Source organism: Homo sapiens, chromosome 4, assembly GCF_000001405.40.
Source record: "Homo sapiens chromosome 4, GRCh38.p14 Primary Assembly".
Classification (NCBI taxonomy): Eukaryota; Metazoa; Chordata; class Mammalia; order Primates; family Hominidae; genus Homo; species Homo sapiens.
Genome location: NC_000004.12, coordinates 139,482,049 through 139,501,638, shown reverse-complemented (window position 1 = coordinate 139,501,638; position 19,590 = coordinate 139,482,049). Strand labels below are relative to the sequence as shown.

At 42.0% G+C, this 19,590-nt stretch overlaps 1 protein-coding gene across 1 annotated transcript in view, besides 1 other annotated feature; it reads left to right on the top strand.

Annotated features, from left to right (window-relative positions):
* The window catches only part of SETD7 (SET domain containing 7, histone lysine methyltransferase), a 63,246-nt gene extending 54,581 nt beyond the window's left edge, over window positions 1–8,665 (top strand). The window contains exon 8 of the mRNA NM_001306199.2: window positions 5,118–8,665. Coding sequence (NP_001293128.1) covers window positions 5,118–5,286 — 169 coding nt within the window. The 3' untranslated portion in view covers window positions 5,287–8,665. The remainder of the gene's footprint in view (window positions 1–5,117) is intronic.
* Window positions 3,550–3,844: a silencer, noted in NCBI's record as "tiled region #15265; HepG2 Repressive non-DNase unmatched - State 8:EnhW". NCBI's record gives its function as "represses a minimal TATA promoter and a strong SV40 promoter by Sharpr-MPRA in HepG2 cells {active_cell/tissue: HepG2}" and the evidence as "EXISTENCE:reporter gene assay evidence [ECO:0000049][PMID:27701403]".
* Window positions 8,666–19,590: the final 10,925 nt, after the last annotated feature.

The window sequence follows — 19,590 nt, the reverse complement described above, 5'->3', positions numbered from 1 at the left end:
TTTATTTATTTATTTATTTGGGGTTTTTTTTTGAGTACCTTTTTAAAAAATATATTTCAATAGCTTTTGGGGTACAAGTGGTTTTTTGTTACATGGAGTAATTATCCAGTGGTGAATTCTGAAATTTTAGTGCACCTGTCACCTGAGTAATGTACATTGTACCTAATATGTAGATTTTTATCCCTAGCTCCCTCCCACCCTCCCCCTTCTGAGTCTCTGAAGTCCATTATGTCACTCTGAATGCCTCTGTGTACTCATAGCTTAGCTCCCACTTATAAGTGAAAACATAACGGGTTTTGGTTTTTCATTCCTTGGTTACTTCACTTAGAATAATGGCCTCCAGCTTCATCCAAGTTCAGCACGAATTTCTTAAGCTTTACCACATAGCAGTCCCTCTTCTGGGCCATTAGCAAATCAGCAGTGAATAAAAACAAAATCCTTGCCTTTGTGGAGCTTGCATTTTAGTGAGGGAAACGGATAAGAAGCAAGTAAATGACTGTATGTGCCTGGGTAAGTGGTATGGGACAAAGAGAGGAGAATAAAGAGGGTGAGGAGGTGTGCAGGGCCAAGAGGGGTGCTATTTTTTTGTGGGGGAAAGTCAGGGAAGACCTCATTTCCTGAGAGAGAGAACAAATTATGGAGATTCCAGGGGAAACATTTCAGGCTGAGGGGGGCCGCAGAGAGCCACGACCTGAGGTGGGAATGCTCAGGGAAGCGCAGGAGGCCAGGGGACCGGCCAGTGGGGAGAGAAGAGAATCAAATTCTACAGGGGCCCCGAAAACTATTTCAAGGACTTTGTTTTAAACTCAGAGTGCGAGGTGCAGTGGTGCAGCCAGTCACGGTGGCTTATGCCTGTAATCCCAGCACTTTGGGAGGCTGAGGTGGGCAGATCATCTGAGGTCAGGAGTTTGAGACCAGCCTTGCCAACATGGCAAAACCCCGTCTCTACTGATAATACAAAAATTAGCTGGGCGTGGTGGTGCATGCCTGTAATCCCATCTACTCAGGAGGCTGAGGCAGGAGAATCGCTTGAAACTGGGAGGCGGAGGTTGCAGTGAGCCAAGGTGGCACCACGGCACTCCAGCCTGGACGACAGAGCAAGACTCCGTCTCAAAAAAACAAAACAAACAAACAAAAACCACCAGCTTTCTTAAACTTAGTTTACTACAGTTTCTGAAAATGCTTTTGAAATTGTAATTGCTGTTAGCCCTTTCATTGGAAGGATCTCAACAGAAGAATGACAAGATCTTCCTCCCACGTGTAAAAGGATCACTCAGGCTGTTGTACTGAGAATAGGCTGGAGTGGGAGTAGGGACCCAGGTGGAAGCAGGGGGTTCATGATGATGGTGGGCAGGACAGAGGGGCCATGGTGAGGAGAAGTGGTTGAACTGGCGTGCATCATAGGAAGAAACAGTAGAATGTGCTGAGATATGGCATTAGGCATTTCACTGATTATTCAGGAATGGTGAGGCCAACAGATCAGGAGACAAATGCCGCTCTCAAAAATTTGCTGAAAAATCAACTCAAAATCAAAAGGCAGATTAATTGGAGAAAAAGCACATACATTTATTTAATGTGTATACACAAGAGCCTTTAGAATGATGATCCAAAGGTATAGGGGAAATTGGCCATTTTTATACTTAGGTTCAATGAAGTATGAAATATGTTTGGACAAAAACGGCATGATCTAATGCTAACAGGCTGAGTGGGAAAACCTAGCAAAACCTCTCTGTCTAGATTCTTCCTGGCCTCTCTGAGCATGCATTCCTTTCTTCTGGGTATGGGGCAGGGTTGTCAGAACCCAGTGGGTTCTTCTTGCCCACTGCCCTGAAAACAAAAAAACAGTGCACTGAGAACAGCAGATGTTGCAGCGAAGAAAGAATTTAATGATCACAGGGCCAGCCAAGCAGGAAGACAGGAGAAATTTCTCAAATCTGCCTTCCCAAGAATTTAGAGGCTGGGGTTTTTAAGGGTACTTTGGTGGGAAGGGGGCTGGGAAACTGAAAGGATTGATTGGCTGTGGATAAAATCACAGGGGTGTCTAAACTGTCTTCATGCAGCTGAATCAGTTCCTGGGAGGGGGGGTCTTGGGACCAGGTGGCATCTCTGGGTCTGCTGAAATGCTAAATCTGAAAAATATCTCAAAGACCGATTCTTCAGGTTTCACAGTAGTAATGTTATCTACAGGAGTAGTTGGGGAAGTTATAAATCTTGCGACTCTGGGGCAGTAAGCAACTTACAGAAAAACAAGCTTGGCAATGGCAGGTCATTGTTTAACTCAGCCTATGCTTTAGCAAAGTTCAAGCCTCTACCATAATTCTAACCTTGCGTCCTCTTGTTAGTCTTTACAAATTCGATTTCCATTTTTGAACAAGGAAGGGACCAGTTCAAGGAAAGGACTATTATGGCCTCCACACAAGAATGAGGACAAGCAAGTTAACCTGGTAGAAGCAAGATAGTCAGTTATGTCAGATTTCTCTGACTATAATTTTGCAAAGGCAGCTTTAGTGCCCTTTCTGGAATGGGGGTCTTCTGACTATAGTCAAACAAGGTAGGTCAGAAAATTTTTTTCTTTTTGAGACAGACTCTTGCTTTGTTGCTCAGGTGGGAGGGCAGTGGTGCAATCTCGGCTCACTGCAACCCCTGCCTCCTGGGTTCAAACAATTATCATGCCTAATTTTTGTATTTGTAAAAGAGACAGGATTTCACCATGTTGGCCAGGCTGGTCTCCAACTCCTGGCCTCAAGAGATCCGCCCACCTTGGCCTCCCAAAGTGCTGGGATTACAGGCATGAGATAATTTCTTTATGGTCAGTTTTTACACAGAAAGGCAGAGGGAAAGTTAGAGTGATATTTTTAGGTTTTATGGCTGGCTTTGGGGAAAAATAGTTCTGGTTGGCAGGATCTGCCTTGGGGTCTATAGGCAGCCTCTGGGAAGGATGGGACTCAGAGACAGAAGGGCAGGAGAAAGTCAGAGAAAAATCTTTGCTCCTGAAGCTGCCTCTGAGGCCTTCATTTCTGGATATTGTCTTCTGAACCCCAACAATAGTTTGTTATTCACAGTTCCCAAGAGGAGGGGGCACACCATGTTACAGGGGCCACATGGGGAAGCACCAGGATCAAGTAGGAGGTAGATGGAGTAAAGAGAAAACGTAGACAAGAACCTGTATTGTGGTGTCTGCAGGAAGAAATGGAGAGGCAGTCAGCAGGCCTGGGATTGGCTAGCTTGAATAACTTCAGTAGATTCTGGGGTGTACCGGCTGTCTTTAGTTGTCTGGTACCTGACCCTGGGGTAATGGTGGCTTGGAGTGGAAGAGGCCTAAGAAGGAAGTGGTTGTAGGCACAGAGGCTGATTTGGTTAGGTTGCATGTGAAAGGTGCCAGGCCTTTGCTATCTCTAGGAATCAGCTAGCCCTGGGTGGGGGGCAGTCCCTCCAGAGCCCACAAGGCCCTAGATGTCAAAGAGTCAGCATTAAAAGACATGCTTTAATATAATAGGAAGTAAGGAATCAGGGATGAACTCCGCAGTTTTTGATCTGAGCAACTGAAAGAATGAAGTAATCACTTAGTGCAAATAACGGTCACCACTGATGATACTGATGGTCTTACCGTAAATCTCCTGCACTTTCCCAGTTTTTATTTCTATTTCCAAAACAACCCATTAATTTCTTCATGGTCCAGCTCCCTCTTGTGGTGAGGATTTATTCTCATACTGTTTCTGACATGCTGTAAAACAAACACCTCTAGGGAAAGGATGATTTAACACATTTTAAAAATCCCAGCACTTTGGGAGGCCGAGGCGGGTGGATCACCTGAGCTCAGGAGTTCAAGACCAGCCTGGCCAACATGGTGAAAACCCATCTCTACTAAAAATACAAAAATTAGCCGGGCGTAGTGGCAGGCGCCGCCTGTAATCCCAGCTACTCAGGAGGCTGAGGCAGGAGAATCGCTTGAACCCAGGAGGCGGAGGTTGCAGTGAGCCGAGATTGCGCAACTGCACTCCAGCCTGGGGAACAAGAGAGAGATTTCGTCTAAAAAAAAAACAAAAAAACAAAAAAACAAAAAAAACATGAAAACTCAGTTGATGTTCTTTCCTATCATCAGGTTGAACTTTGATTAGCTAAATTAAGACACCACTTCCAGGGCTTTTTAAATTTTTTTATTTTTTATTTTATTTTTTTTGAGACGGAGTTTCGCTCTTGTTGCCCAGGCTGGAGTTTAGTAATGGCGCAATCTCGGCTCACTGCAACCTCCGCCTCCCGTGTTTAAGCGATTCTCCTACCTCAGCCTCCCGAGTAGCTGGGATTACAGGTGCCTGCCACCATGCCCATCTAATTTTTGTATTTTTAGTAGAGACAGGGTTTCACCATGTTAGTCAGGCTGGTCTGGAACTCCCAACCTTGGGTGATTCGCCCACCTCGGCCTCCCAAAGTGCTGGGATTACAGGCGTGAGCCACCGCACCCGGACTTTATTTTTAAATGAGCCCAAATTTCAAGAGGGCTAATAGCACTTCTGGCGCCTACAGTAAACAAAGTTGAACAAAACTGGTTTATCTTTTAAAACAAACAGAAGCATTTCTGTGTCATACAGGTCTTTAAAATCTCTCTCTGCCTGGAGCACAGTTATCTGTAAAACACGAGTTATAAGATCATTAGTACTGGCTGGGCATTATAGGCATAAGCCACTGTGCTTGGCCTCTGAAATTTCTTTATCAGAATTATTATAGCACTCGGACTCTGTGTGTGTGCATGTGTGTGTGTGTGTGTACAGGAACACAACTTATCTAAGTACGATTTACAAAACCTACAGCTATGTGGAACACAGCCAGAAACCTGAGACTGAGTGACTTCTGAGCAGTCAATAGCTATTTCAGTTCATGCACTTTACTCTGTAGAAGAACAACCATAACACAGTCCCCGTGGAACATCAGGTTCCAGCCTTAGAGCCTCTGACCCAGTGAAAAGTCAGAGCCAGCAAAAGAGAGGATGGAGAAGATTTAGAAAAATGCAGCTGGGTTTCTAAAAGTCTCCTTTCTGGCTTTTCAGCACCGTGGCTTGAGATCTATGTACCTTAATAATCTCTGAAAACGTTCTCAGCCAGTTGCTTCTCCAATTTCAGTGGCCAGAAGAATCACCTGGGAACGTGTAAAAGAAGCAGATTTGGGGCTCCACTCCCAAAGATCCCACATCTGGATCAAGCGCCCTGGGTAGAACACAGAAAAGCTGGCATTCCTCTTTATAGTGCAGCCCAAGGACTGATGCTCATAATGATGTTCGTGAGTAATTAAGAAAAGATAAAAGCGAATGGAATGAACTCTGCCTACTGATAATGGCAATTGTCAGAACATAGGCTTCCCTCAAGAACTCAAAATCGCACTCTGGGAGCCATTTTAAGATCTGAAAAGAGATACCTAATAAGTTGTGCCAGAGAAATCAATAAATAAAGTCACCAGAGGGGGGAAAAAGACCCTCAAACCAGCAGGACTTGATTAGATAAAATATCTTTTAAAACAATCAGGATATTTGGAATTTTCTTCAGGCTAATATGGGAGATAAGGGAAGTGAAGTGTGGGTGTAGATAAAACCAGACTGACCACATGTGGATAAGGATTTCAGCTGGGTGATGAGTACGAGTTCATGATCTTATATGTGTGTTTTTATATGTTTTTGAAATCTCCACAATAAAAAATTACAAAAAAAGTTTAAACCCAGGTTATTAGGTATAAACGTACCAAAAAAACAGTGTCACAGAGGCAAACATTACCTAACTCTGCCCAAGCAATCATGCTCCTTGAATTTTCTGGCCCCACTGGCAACTAATCCCTATTATAAAGTGAATATATCAGAGATCATTAAACATTACGTTTATATAACTGAAAACTCCCTGATATGGTTTGGATCTGTGTCCCCACCCAAATCTCATCTTGAATTGTAATTCCCATATGTGGTGGGAGGGATCTGATGGGAGGTAACTGGATCATGGCAGCATTTTCCCCCATGCTGTTCTCATGATATTGAGGGAGTTCTCATGAGACCTGATGGTTTAAAAGTGGCAGCTTCCCCTGCTCTCTTTCTCCTGCCGCCTTGTGAAGAAGATGCCTGCTTCCTCTTTGCCTTTTGCCGTGATTGTAAGTTTCCTGAGGCCTCCCCAGCCATGCAGAACTGTGAGTCAATTAAGCCTCTTTCCTTTATAAATTACCCAGCCTCCGGTAGTATCTTTAAGGCAGTGTGGAAATGGACTAACACACTGCCCCTGGTTCTGATTTCCTACTCACTAAGCAATTCTCTGATTGCTGAGGAAAATTTTCCAAGGTAATGAATGTGTCCTGATATAACCTCTAAAAGAAGACAGCCAGGTGAATAAACACCCCATCAGCTTGTGGTTGCCTTCCTTGAATTTCTGGAGAAACAATAGCTGTAATTTATTGAATGACTTACTCTGCAGCAAGCACTGAACTGGGTACTTTTCATTAGTTAATTCATTTAATTTTCACAGTAGAAATGATATTACTTGGAGATATTTCCATCCAAACTGGTTAAAGGAAAAAGTACAAAAGAATGAATGAAAGAGATTGTGCATTAATCTGGAAAAATATGTCCATTTTAAATACTTACTGCTTAAAATCTATAATGTCATATTCTGGCTATAGTGCCATTACATATAATGTTTACATATTTATCTCACAAGATTAAACACTGTTTTTCTAAGTAGAATTTCATGTGCATTCCCCAGCTCATTAAAAAGAATTCTAGTTTCCCATTTAAGATAATATTGTAGTAAATCCGCTTAACCAAGCTCTTTATAAACTCATATTGTCATAATCCATGAAAGTGAGTGAACCGCGAGGATGCTGCTGTTAACCACTCCATGCTGTAGAATCAGAATTCCTGAATTCCATAGGCATAAGGCATGTGCCTGTCCAACATCCAGTATCAATTTATGTATGAGATATTAATAATACTGAACTTCTGTGTCTATGTTGATATCATCTCTAGCCTTACAAACACAGAATTCTAATACTTTTCCCATACTCCAGTGGAATGTCTTTCATATCCCCTGGGGTACATGCTCTACACTTTATCATTCTGCTTGGCAGAACAATATTTCCTAGTGTAACAAAAGACACTGTTTATTGATTTATTTTTCCTCCCATATTTTAGAAGGCTCCTGTCCATTCTAAAGTTAGGTTCAATAACCTAGCATCCTCCCAGCGCCTGTTTAGTCATAATAATTGCTCAGGTATGCTGGATATTGAAGACAGAGTTGAAAGAATGGTTCACCAGTAGACACAGCAGGACATGTGTGACCAGGATCAGTTCATTGTGGGGCCTAGAATAATGAAAGGTAGTGAGAGAGTACATTCAATCTGAGATGAAAAGATCTGGACTCAAGCCCTTGCTCTATTACCTATGATCTTTGTGCTCTTTAACCATCCTCCCCCTTTATAGATTAATCAAATAAGACTTGCCTCGTCTATTTCACAGGCTTGTTTCAGATACAGTGCAGATGACCCTAGTGGCAGATACTGTGGATTGCCTACCCAAAAGACATTCACAAGCCATTTTCCCCTTGTCTTCCTGTGCCTAAAATAATTACATTCCAAGGATCTCTTGCAGCTAAGGCTGGCCACCAGATTCAGTTTTGGCCAACGAGAGGTCAGGCAAGGGAGGCAGGCAGTCACTGAGTGAGCCTCCAGAAAAGTTATGTACAAGAAGTAGAGTCCATTGGCATGCTGCCTTCATTGCTTACCCTCCAACCCACTTTTCACAAAGTAATCAGAGTAATGTAAAACAGTAAAGCAGCCAGCCGCAGTGGCTTACACCTGTAATTTCAGCACTCTGGGAGGCCAAGGTGGGTGGATCACTTGAGCCCAGGAGTTCGAGACCAGCCTGGGAAACATAGCAAAACCCCATCTCTACAAAAAATACAAAAAGTAGCCAGGCCTGGTGGTGCATGCCTGTAGTCCCAGCTACTCGAGAGGCTGAGGTGAGAGGATCACTTAAGCACAGGAAGGCAAGGCTGCAGTGAGCTGGGATTGTGCCACTGCACTCCAGCCTTAGGCAACAGAGTGAGACCCTGTCTCAAAAAAAAAAAAAAAATAGTAAAGTACATCTTGCCATCACCCTGCTGAAACACTTCAATGGCTTTCCATTGCAGCTAGAATAAAATCCAAGCTATTTACAATGGACTGGCTCCTGCTCCCTCTCCAGTATCATTCAGTCCGTTCTCCCCCACCCACTGTACTCCAGCCAGACCTTCTGTTCCTCAAACTTGCCAAGCGTTTTCCTGGATCCAGGCCTTTATACCTGCTGATTACTCTGCCTGTTTGCCTCTAGCTCTTTGCATAGCTTCTCTCTGTCACCCTTCAGCCCTTGACTCACACCGCCCTCATCAGAGGTGCCCTCCTTGACCGTCATGTCTCAGAAGGCCTCCTCAACTTATCTGCTGTCTTACCACCCAAATTGTTTCATTGTTATCCCTAATCCACAGTTATTTTGTGTATTTGTTATTCCTCTGTCTTCTAACACTGTAACATAAGCATCACTGGGGAACAGCCTTTGCCTGTCTTGTTTATTGCTACATCCTTAGTCCCTTACACAGTGCCTGAAACATAAGGGATGCTTGTTTAATATTTATAAAATAAAAGAATGAACTTTCCCTATGAATCTCCATCTCCTAATTTATTCCTCTTCATCAAAGGAAATGCAAGGCTAAACATGAGTGCATAATGGGAATAACAAGTGTTAACACAGGATTTGTGTGATGAGTGGATGACTTCCAGGAAAAAGCAATCAGAGGAGCCAATTTGGTGGTAAAAAAGGAAAGAAAGAAAAAGGAAGGAAGGAAAGGAAGGAAGGAAGGAAGAAAGAAAAAGAAAGAAAGAGAGAAAGAGAAAGAAAGAGGGAGGGAGGGAAGGGGGCAATTGTGATTGGATGAGAGCAGAAAGTAGCGGAAAATGCTGTGTCTGCATTGTCAACCAATAGCAATTTGGATTGCCACAGCTACAGACACCTCAGGAGGTCTTGGAAGAAGGCATGGGGAGGAGAAGGCAGCCTAATCAAGGTGACATACCTGCTTCCTGCAAATTCAAAATCACATGCTGGGGTGAGGTGGCTCTCACTGTCCATATGAATTTCCATTTCTTTTCACTTCCTTTCTTTACCCACCTTCTCTATTCTGCCTCCGCCTGCTACAATTCATCTCCTTTAAGGTTCCCTGTATTGGATAAATTTTAACCCAAGCATTAGGCAGCACACGTTTCTGAGAGGAGCAGAGGCTGCAGAATCAGACAAGCCTGGCTTTAAATTCTTGCTGTATTCCATTGCTCTATTCCTTCTAGCAATATTATTTTAGTAAAGTTAACTTCTCTAAGAGAAGCAATAATACCTGTCTCATAAAGGTTATTGTGAAGATTAAATGAGATACTACATTAAGAACTTGCCCCAGTATGGAGCAGAGTAATAAAGTTATATAACTTCAAAACAAGCAGGGTGAGGCTGGGGAGGAGAGGGGTGGTTAATAAGAAAAAGAAAAAAAAACAGTATTTGTTAAAAACCTACAGGAGACATCATATTTAATGGTGAAATGTCAAAAGCATTCTACTTTAGATAAAGAACAAGACATGGATGTCAGCTGTCACCTCTCTCATTTAATAACATGCTGGACATCTTGCCCAGTGCAATAAAACAAGAGAAATGTAAAAAATTTATAGGAGGTGGAAAGAATGAAAAAAACTATTTTTATTTGAAGGTGATATAATTTTTGTAGAACACCAAAAAGAATCTCCAATAATTAGGATTAATAAATGTTTCACTTGGTTCTTCAATCCAAAATTAATATATAAAAATTGGCCAGGTACAGTGGCTCACACCTGTAATCCCAGCACTTTGGGAAGACAAGACAAGAGAATCGCTTGAGGCCAGGAGATCCAGACCAGCCTGGCCAACATGGTGAAACCCTATCTCTACTAAAAACACAAAAATTAGCCGGGCATGGTGGCACACACCTGTAATCTCAGCTACTCGGGAGGCTGAGGCACAAGAATCGCTTGAACACTGCAGAGATCGTACGTAGTGAGACGAGACAAGATCACACCACTGTACTCTGGCCTGGGCGACAGAGCAAAACTGTCTCAAAAAAAAGAATTCAATCAATCAAACCCTTTAAGAAGAAAATTATAAAACTTCACTGAAAGACATTAAAGAGGCAGGGGATGGTGGCTCATACCTCTAACCCCAACACTTTGGGAGGCAGAGGTGGGAGGATTGTTTGAGCCCAGGAGTTTGCAACCAGCCTGGGCAATATAGCAAGACCCTGTTTCTACAAAAAGTAAAAAAAAAAAATTAGCCAGTCATGGTGGGGTGCACTGATAGTCCCAGCTACTTGGAATGCTAAGCCAGGAAGATTACTTGAGCCCAGGAGTTCAAGTCTGCAATAAGCTATGATTAGGCCACTGCACTTGACAGAGTGAGATCCTGTCTCAAAAAGAAAGAAAGACTTAAAGAAAACCTAAATAAATGGAAAGATTTACCATATTCTTGGCCAGGAAAACTCAATATTGTTAAGATATTGATTCTCCTAAGTGGACTGATAAATTCAAAGCGTTCCAATCAAAATCCCAACATTGTTTTTTATTTGATGAGTTAAATCTAAAATTTAGGTAAACAACAAAGGCCCCAGAATTACCAAAACTGTGGATGAAGAGCAAGATGTGGGACTTGACCTACCAAATATCAAGATAGAAAGCTTTAGGAATTAAGGACGTGTAGTACCAGCCCAGAAACAGACAAATAGGCCAATTAAATGAAATAGCCCAGAAACAGACCCAGGCATATATGGAGCCTTCATTGATAATAGAATGGTCACTATCGTTCAATAGGGAAAAAGTGGGTGACTTAATAAATGGTGTCAGGACAATTAGATATTCATATAAAAAATATAAAATTAGATCCTCAATTCATACTATATAAAAATCAACTATATGTGGATTAAAGACTTCATTTTTTTAATGTGAAAAATACAGCTATAGAACATTTAGAATAACATATAGATGGAACAGTTTTTTTACTTCAGAGTAAGAAAAATGTTATTAAACAAGACACAAAAGCACACACCATAAATAAAATTATCAATAAATTCAGTTGTATTAAAATTAAGAACATCTGTTCTGGCCAGTTGTGGTGGCTCACGCCTGTAATCCCAGCACTTTGGGAGGCTGAGGCAGGTGGATCACCTGAGGTCAGGAGTTCGACACCAGCCTGGCCAACATGGAGAAACCCCATCTCTACTAAAAATACAAAAACTATCTAGGTATGGTGGCGGGCATCTGTAATCCCAGCTACTTGGGAGGCTGAGGCAGGAGAATCGCTTGAACCCAGGAGGCTGAGGTTGCAGTGAGACAAGATCGCACCACTGCACTCCAGCCTGGGCAACAGAGTGAGACTCCGTCTCAAAAAAAAAAAAAAAAAAATCCGTTCTTTGAAAGACACTGTAAAAAGAGTGAAGAGACAATCTATAAATGGAGAGAAGATATTTGCCTCACATATGATCGGCGAAGGAATCATATCCAGAACATATAGAACTTTTACAAATCAGTAAGAAAAAGACAAAGAACCCAACAGAAAAATAAAAGACCTGACAAGAAATTCAAGAAAACAAAGACATTACCAGAATTTAACAAATAAATGAAAAGTTGCTCATTAGTAAACAGAAAAATACAAACTAAAATCATTAGAATCCATTTTACTCTCACTAGATTAACAAAACATCATTTAGTTGGATAATAACAAGTGTTGTGAAGTCCTGCCTCAGGACCTTTGCACATGCTGCCTGCTTGAGCTGGAATACTCTACCTTTACATCTTAGCAGGGCTTGTTCCTTCACTTCATTCAGATCTGGTTCAGTTGTTACCCTACTAAGAGGCTTTTTCTGACCATAATATCCAAATAATGCCCTTCAGCCTCCAACATTCTGTAGCCTGTTACCTGCTTTATTATCATTTTCAAAGCACTTGTTAACATTTTGCTACATTTATTCTCTGTGTGTGTGTGTGTGTGTGTGTATGTACACATAAGGATTCACACACATTTGTTATTATTATTTTGCAGAACCTTTTGAAAGTAGGTAGCTGACATACTAAGTGATTTTCAGATGGCGAACACTTTGGGGAAAAGGATGATTATGTAGAAAACAAATAACATTCAAATAGAGCATACTGACTGTGAAGAGGTGGAGATTATTATAAATCTTCAAGACTACTGTAAGCAGAATTAAGGAAATTAGATCCCCCTCACCGTATAGTTATTGTTATTTTGCAGAACATACTAAAAGCAGGTTGTTGACATCAGGACACTTCACCCCTAAATACTTCCATATGTATCTCCTAAGATTCTCCCACTTAACCTCAATACTATTATCACAAGTAAGACAATTGACAATCATTCCCTAATACCATCTAACACGCAGCCAGTATTCAAATTTCCAAGTACTCCTTTTAGAGGTCATAATCATATCAATTATATTGAAATGCACCCATGGTACCCTAAGGTTTTTCAGAAAATTTTTTAAAAGATAATTTTACTTCTGAAATAATTTAGCTACAATCAAACCACTTAATTTGCAATCAGTTATAGTTTCTTAGCAAGCATAGTACATGCTTGGGAACTCTTTTGAAGGAAAATAATCTAATCCACTTTGTTGGATTGAAGGACAATAATCTAATCCAATTGTTTTCAAATATAATTACATTATATTTTTATGAATACTAACATTTTATCAACTACTAATGTTAGCATTAATTTTTAGTTTGCAGATATTTAATTAAATGCTCTTTAGTTCTGTTTTATTCATTTTTATTTTCATATTTTGGGGTCAATTCTTTTTTTTTTCAGGTCTCAAAAATTTTTATAGGCCATCTGAAAGCTCCTTGGTCCTAGGCATGGTACAGAAGCTGCCTGTAGAGGCCTTGCTGAGGACAGGAGATAGCTTTCAGTGCATGGCGTCTGAAATAGAAACTGACTTAAACCCAGCACTTTCTCCCCACTAAGGCAGCTTCTGTGGTTCAAGTTCTAAAAACTGGATGGGCAGTGAGAAGTCCTGAGGCTCAGAGGGGAAGAAAGAGAGAAAGGTGAAAGCGGTTTCTGGGAGACATCGCTTTTCTGCCTGTGTAGCTTTTTAATGTGTCATTCATGGTGGAAATTGTCTTTGAGAAGGTAACAGGACATCTTCTGAGCAAAACTGGTCAGAAACTCCAGATTGAGGCACGTCGTTTGGAGAATCTGTTGACTTGTTTTGTTTTGTTTTGTTTCTGCTAAGGAGTATATCTGAAATTGAGGGTATTTAATTAGAAATCATTCAAGGCCATATAAGGTTCTGGCTGCAGTAAATTGGGGATAATGAGAGATAATACAAAATACACTAGGAAGTACAGAAGTTTGTATTAGAAACTAGTTTGTCAATTGCAGAATGAAGTCCTCCTTATGTTTCTAAGAGGATTTAATTGGTATAAGTCAATCTGATAATAAGTAAGTGTCTTAAGGCTTAAAAGGGAGCAGGTATTGTTATCATCCCCACTTTGCAGGTGAAAAACTGAGGCTGAGAGAGAGTTTCAGCTGTTTGTAGGAGTCTTGGCTGAGATGCAGCTGGCAGAACTGGATCTTGTTTGCTATCATGATACAAGAGAAAGAGATGAGGAATTCAGTATTTTAAGTTCATTGTATTTTTTAAATTCAGAAATGCAGATTTGTTTTCTTTTTCTTTTTCTTTTTTTTTTTTTTTTTTTTTGAGACAGAGTCTTGCTCTGTCACCCAGGCTGGAATGCAGAGGCACGATCTTGGCTCACTGCAACCTCTGACTCCCTGGTTCAAGCTATTCTCCTGCCTCAGCCTCCTGAGTAGCTGGGATTACAGGCACGCACCACCACACCCACCTAATTTTTGTATTTTTAGTAGAGATGAGGTTTCATCATGTTGGCCAGGATGGTCTCAATCTCCTGACCTCGTGATCCGCCCGCCTCAGCCTCCCAAATGCAGCTTTGTTTTCTTAAGCATAGCAGAGACATTACAAGCAAAGTGACTTTTAATTTTTTACTATCATGTAACAAAACTCTCAGAAGACACATATTCTAGGCAAAGTCTTAGTGCAATTTGGCCATAGCACCATGCTAGGCATAAATTGCTCATTTTCACAAACCATGACTCACCCATCATGTCAGGAACATTTTCCTCTTGTAAAGCTCTTGGAGCCAAATTGTTAAAGAATCAAGAGGAACACTTCAGGATATGAGTGATTTTCAAATGGAAAACACTTTGGGGAAGAGAATTATTTTGTAGGAAACAAGTGACATTCAGTTACAAGATACTAACCACAAAGATGTGGAGACTATTCAACCTAATGAAGGCCACTATAAGCAGAATTAACAAGGCTAGGTGCTCCTTTTCCCCACAAGAATACTCTAGGGGGACTGGAGCAAAGGGAAGATGCTTAGTATAATATAAATCCTCAAGCAGTGGCTCCTGTCTCTGCCTCTTCCCATGCAGCAAAGAGGCCATGAAGCCATGGAGCCACAAAGCTGAAGAAGACACAACTGTCCCTCCGTAAAGGGCTGTTGTACAGACCACTGACACTCTTTAGATCACACCCTTGTCAGAAAAAGTGTTTCAGCAAGCACTTCCAATGCATGTTCATTGGTTCACCGAAAATTATAATCACAAACCATACTAGCTAGTAGATTAAGAAACATTTACAAAATAGAAATTTAAAAGGATGAGGATGAAATAAATAATTTTTAAAATAATTTGTATTTCTTTTCACTTACCAGTCAAAAAAAAAAACCTGTTTATTCACAGATACCCAGCCTATTTTATTGATAATATTTTCTTTTTCTTTTTTTTGAGGCAGAGTCTCACTCTGTTGCCCAGGCTGGAGTGCAGTGGCACTATCTCAGCTCACTGCAACCTCTGCTTCCCGGGTTCAAGCGATTCTCCTGCCTCAGCCTCCCGAGTAGCTGGGATTACAGGCATGTGCCATCATGCCTGGCTAATTTTTGTATTTTTAGTAGAGACGGGGTTTCACCATGTTGGCCAGGCTGGTCTTGAACTCCAGACCTCAGGTGGTCCTCCCACCTCGGCCTCCCAAAATGCTGGGATGACAGGCGTGAGCCAGTGCACCCCTGCACCCATCCAATAATATTTTTCAAAGTCATTTTTTGAAATTAAATATGCTTCATTATTTTGAAAGTTTTGATTTACTACTTCATGATGAAGCAAGGTGAAGGTTGTTTCTAAATGCAGTTTATGTTGATGCTTGCATTTAATAACTATCAATGGTGAAAACAAATGACCTTACAAAGATCCTCAGATCCAAAACGAACAAAAGCATCATCAGCCAGGCTTGTTAAACCCTGATCCAGAGTTTTCAATTCCACCTACCAGCTATGCAGAAGGTGGTATGTTTATACTGAAGTTTAACTTCAGTATAAAGTTATGCAGAAGTTTATACTGGAATTCACTTGCTAGATTGCCATCTCCCCAAATTGCTCTTGCAAACCGATTAAACATTATATTTATATTTTTAACGAAAAGATCCAAAGCCTAGTCTTAGTTTGGAAGAATTTTAAACAGGATGGAAAATTCTAACTCTTAAATGCTTGAGTAGGAGAATTTTTATAGGTGTCACAGACTAGAAAAAAAACACACATCAGATGGAAACATTTCCAAACATCCACTAGGAAGAGATAGATGGTTTATCTAAAAATAACTATTAAGGTAGCATATTCCTTAGCATGAAATATATTTCAAACACTAGCCATCCTGGCTAACACGGTGAAACCCCGTCTCTACTAAAAATACAAAAAAATTAGCCGGGCGTGGAGGTGGGCGCCTGTAGCCCTAGCTACTCGGGAGGCTGAGGCAGGAGAATGGTGTGAACCCGGGAGGCAGAGCTCGCAGTGAGCAGAGATTGCACCACTGCACTCCAGCCTGGGCGACAGAGCGAGACTCCGCCTCAAAAAAAAAAAAGAAAGAAAGAAAGAAAGAAAGAAAGAAAGAAAGAAAGAAAGAAAGAAAGAAAGAAAGAAAGAAAGAAATGGTCAACAATTTGGATCGGTTATCTGTGGGAAAAAAAAAACGTGTAGCACATTTTTTCAGTTTAGTAAGTCTTTTAATTACTCCGTCATGAGATAAACAGTGGACCATCCAAATAGTACAAAACATCTTCATAGTCACCTCTGATAGTTTGTAGAAAGGTCCACAGGTTTTCTGACGGGCTTCTCATTCACAGAATTTACATCTCCTCCCCTTAAAACCAAGCAAGATTTTGCGATTGCTGTTCTACATGGATACAGAGTGACCTTCGAGCTAAGTTAGAAAACGCCCCAGGGCTTTTGCAGGTTTATCTTGCGCCACTTACTCTGGGTGCTTGCAGCCACCATGTAAGAAGTCCTGCTACCTTGAGGCTGCCATACGGAGCAGCACAGAGAAAGAGAGAGCGAGAGATGCCCGAGGAGTGCCGGCTGCTCTGCCCCAGCTGCTGCATATTCTTCACCTGGACTTCAGATGACGGCAACCTCAGGAGAGACCTGTAGCCTGCACTGCCTGCACACTCCTGCCTTGCCACAGCGGCGAGACAACCAATAATTGTGGTCTTATCTACTCAGTTTTGGGGAAGCTTGTTACACAACACTAGATACTACACATATATTATTTCATTCTCACAATAACCCCGTGGGTTAGTGTCAGCCCTTTTTAAAAATGAGGAAATTGAAGCATGGAGAGGTTTGACTTTTAGAACATCTAGGATTCAGGCTGGGCACAGTGACTCATGCCTGTAATCCCAGCACTTTGGGAGGCTGAGACAGGCGGATTACATCAAATCAGTAGTTTGAGACCAACCTGGCCAACATGGCAAAAACCCATCTCTACTAAAAATACAAAAATCAGCTGGGTGTGATAGTACACTCCTGTAATCCCAGCTACTTGGGAGGCTGAGGCAGAATTGCTTGAACCCGGGAGGCAGAGGTTGCAGCGAGCTGAGATCATGCGACTGCACTCAAGCCTGGGCAACAGAGCAAGACTCTCTCTTAAAAAATAAAACATAAAATAATTTGTTTAAAAAAGAACATCTGGGCCAGGCACGGTAGCTCATGCCTGTAATCCCTGCACTTTGGGAGGCCAAGGAGGGCGGATCACCTAAGGTCAGGAGTTTGAGACCAGCCTGGCCAACATGATGAAACCCCGTCTCTACTAAAAATACAAAAAATTAGCTGGATGTGGTGGCACACGCCTGTAATCCCAGCTACTCAGGAGGCTGAGGCAGGAGAATCACTTGAACCCAGGAGGTGGAGGTTGCAGTGACCCAAGATAGCACCACTGCACTCCAGCCTGGGTAAAACTCCGTTTCAAAAAAAAAGAACATCTGGGATTCAGCTTCTTTGTGGTCTCACTCCACAGTTTAAGCGCGGCGTCCTCTGCCTCTCAGCAAGAGAGGACAGAAGCAAGGGTCAAAGGCAGTGGAAGTGATAGATCCAGGTAGGAGACTAGATGTGGGAGTTGGGGGAAGGGAAGCCTCAACAGAAGCTGGAGGTTTTGAGGAAACACAGGAAGAAAAATAAATTTAAGGAGGAAGATTGAGTTTATACATTTTATTTTATTTTTTATTTTTATTTTTTGAGACTGAGTCTCACTGTTGCCCAGGCTGGAGTACAGTGGTATGATCACGGCTCACTGAAGACTCAATCTCCTGGGCTCAAGCGATCCTCCCACCTCAGCCTCCTGAGTAGCTGGGACCACAGGTACAGACCACCACAGTCAGCTAATTTTTAAATTTTTTGTAGAGATGGTGTCTCTCTTTATTGCCTGGGCTGGTCTCAAACTCCTGCGCTCAAGTGATCCTCCCACCTCAGCCTCCCAAAGTGCTGGGATTACAGGTGTGAGCCACCATGCCCCACTGTTTATACATTTTAAATTACATGTTTGAGTGGTCCACAGATACTGCAAAAGAAAGATGGCCCACATGCAGCAGCCAATTCAGGATTTCAGAGGTAAAGGTGAGGCTCTAAACATGGGTTCAGGAATCAAGTAACTCTGAAGGTGAGATCGTAAAGGAAAGGGTGTTCAGCCAGAAGAGGATGGAAGAAAAAGGCTCAGGGAGTGCCTCCCTGTCTAGCTGGTCATACACCTTATCCTACGTGATTAAGTTCCCAATGTTTTCAGAATTAAAAAATGTATGCTCCATAGCACCTTTGGATGTACAATGGAAGAATACACTCTCAGAAGTAGGCAACATTTACTAATCTTACATTTGCATAAGGAGTTTATGAAAATATAACAAATCACCAAATTAGCAAGGATTTTTTAGTTCACACTTTAGAAGTACTTCAGAAATGCATGAAAATAGCAGTATGCTGTGTTTCCCAGTGAAGAGCTTCAGAGGCGTAGTATCACTTTCTGCAGCAGATGCTGACTGGCTTACTCGACGCCTCCCCATCCTCTTCTAGTGTGCTTTCCTGCTGCAGAGCCTGGGATGATAAAACCTGTGATTCCCAAGATATATTTGCAGCTTCAGTTCTAGGAAGTGGGTAGAGACAGGGTCACAGGGAGAATGGCCTTTCTTTCCAGTGTGATGTTGAAGATTTCAGTACTTCTGGGACAGCTTTGGGGACATTTTGTGGCCAGTCCTGAGTGTCATAGGTGCTGAGGAGAGATAGTGGTGACAGTCAACTGTCTACAACATCTGGGCATTTATCTTGGCTACTATTGTCCCTGTCTTTGTAGCATCCAAATTTTGGTCCCAGGTCCTCCTAAAGATAACATAAGCTACCCCAAATTCTCTAAGTTCCTTTCTTCTTCTTCTTTTTTTTTTTTTTGAGACAGAGTCTCGCTCTGTCACCCAGGCTGGAGTACAGTGGTGGGGTCTCGGCTCACTGCAACCTCCACCTCCCAGGTTCAAGTGATTCTTCTGCCTCAGCCTCCTGAGTAGCTAGGACTACAGGCATGCACCACCACTAATTAGCCCAGCTAATTTTTGTATTTTTAGTAGAGATGGAGTTTCACCATATTGGCCAGGCTGGTTTCGAACTCCTGACCTCGTGATCTGCCTGCCTCAGCCTCCCAAAGTGCTGGGATTACAGGCGTGAGCCACCGCGCCCTGCCAGTCCCTTTCTTCTTAAATGAGCTAGGTGAGATCCCTAACGTATACCAGTTCCATAATAGACTTTACACATATATTTTCATACAGTAGTAAAATTGTGTACCATCAATTTTATCACAGACTGACAAATTTTAACAATTTAAAGCTAGATGTACTTTTCTAGGATAACTTAGATGAGGTATTAGTTAAGCCCAAATAACATTGGCTCGAACAAGATGTAAGTCTTCTACTTGACTCTCACTTACTGGTCCAAGCATAACTGTCTGGGGCTGTGATGGTAGCAGCACAGCATCTGGGACCCCGGTTCCTTCTCTTTGGTTGCTCTGCCACTCCTAGGGTGTTGCCTAGGAATGACATCTGCATGGCGCACCCATTGTTCACTAAGTCCCTAAAACGGTGTTTTCCCCTGGCGCAGGTTTAAAGGCTGGTAGAAAGGCACTAACTC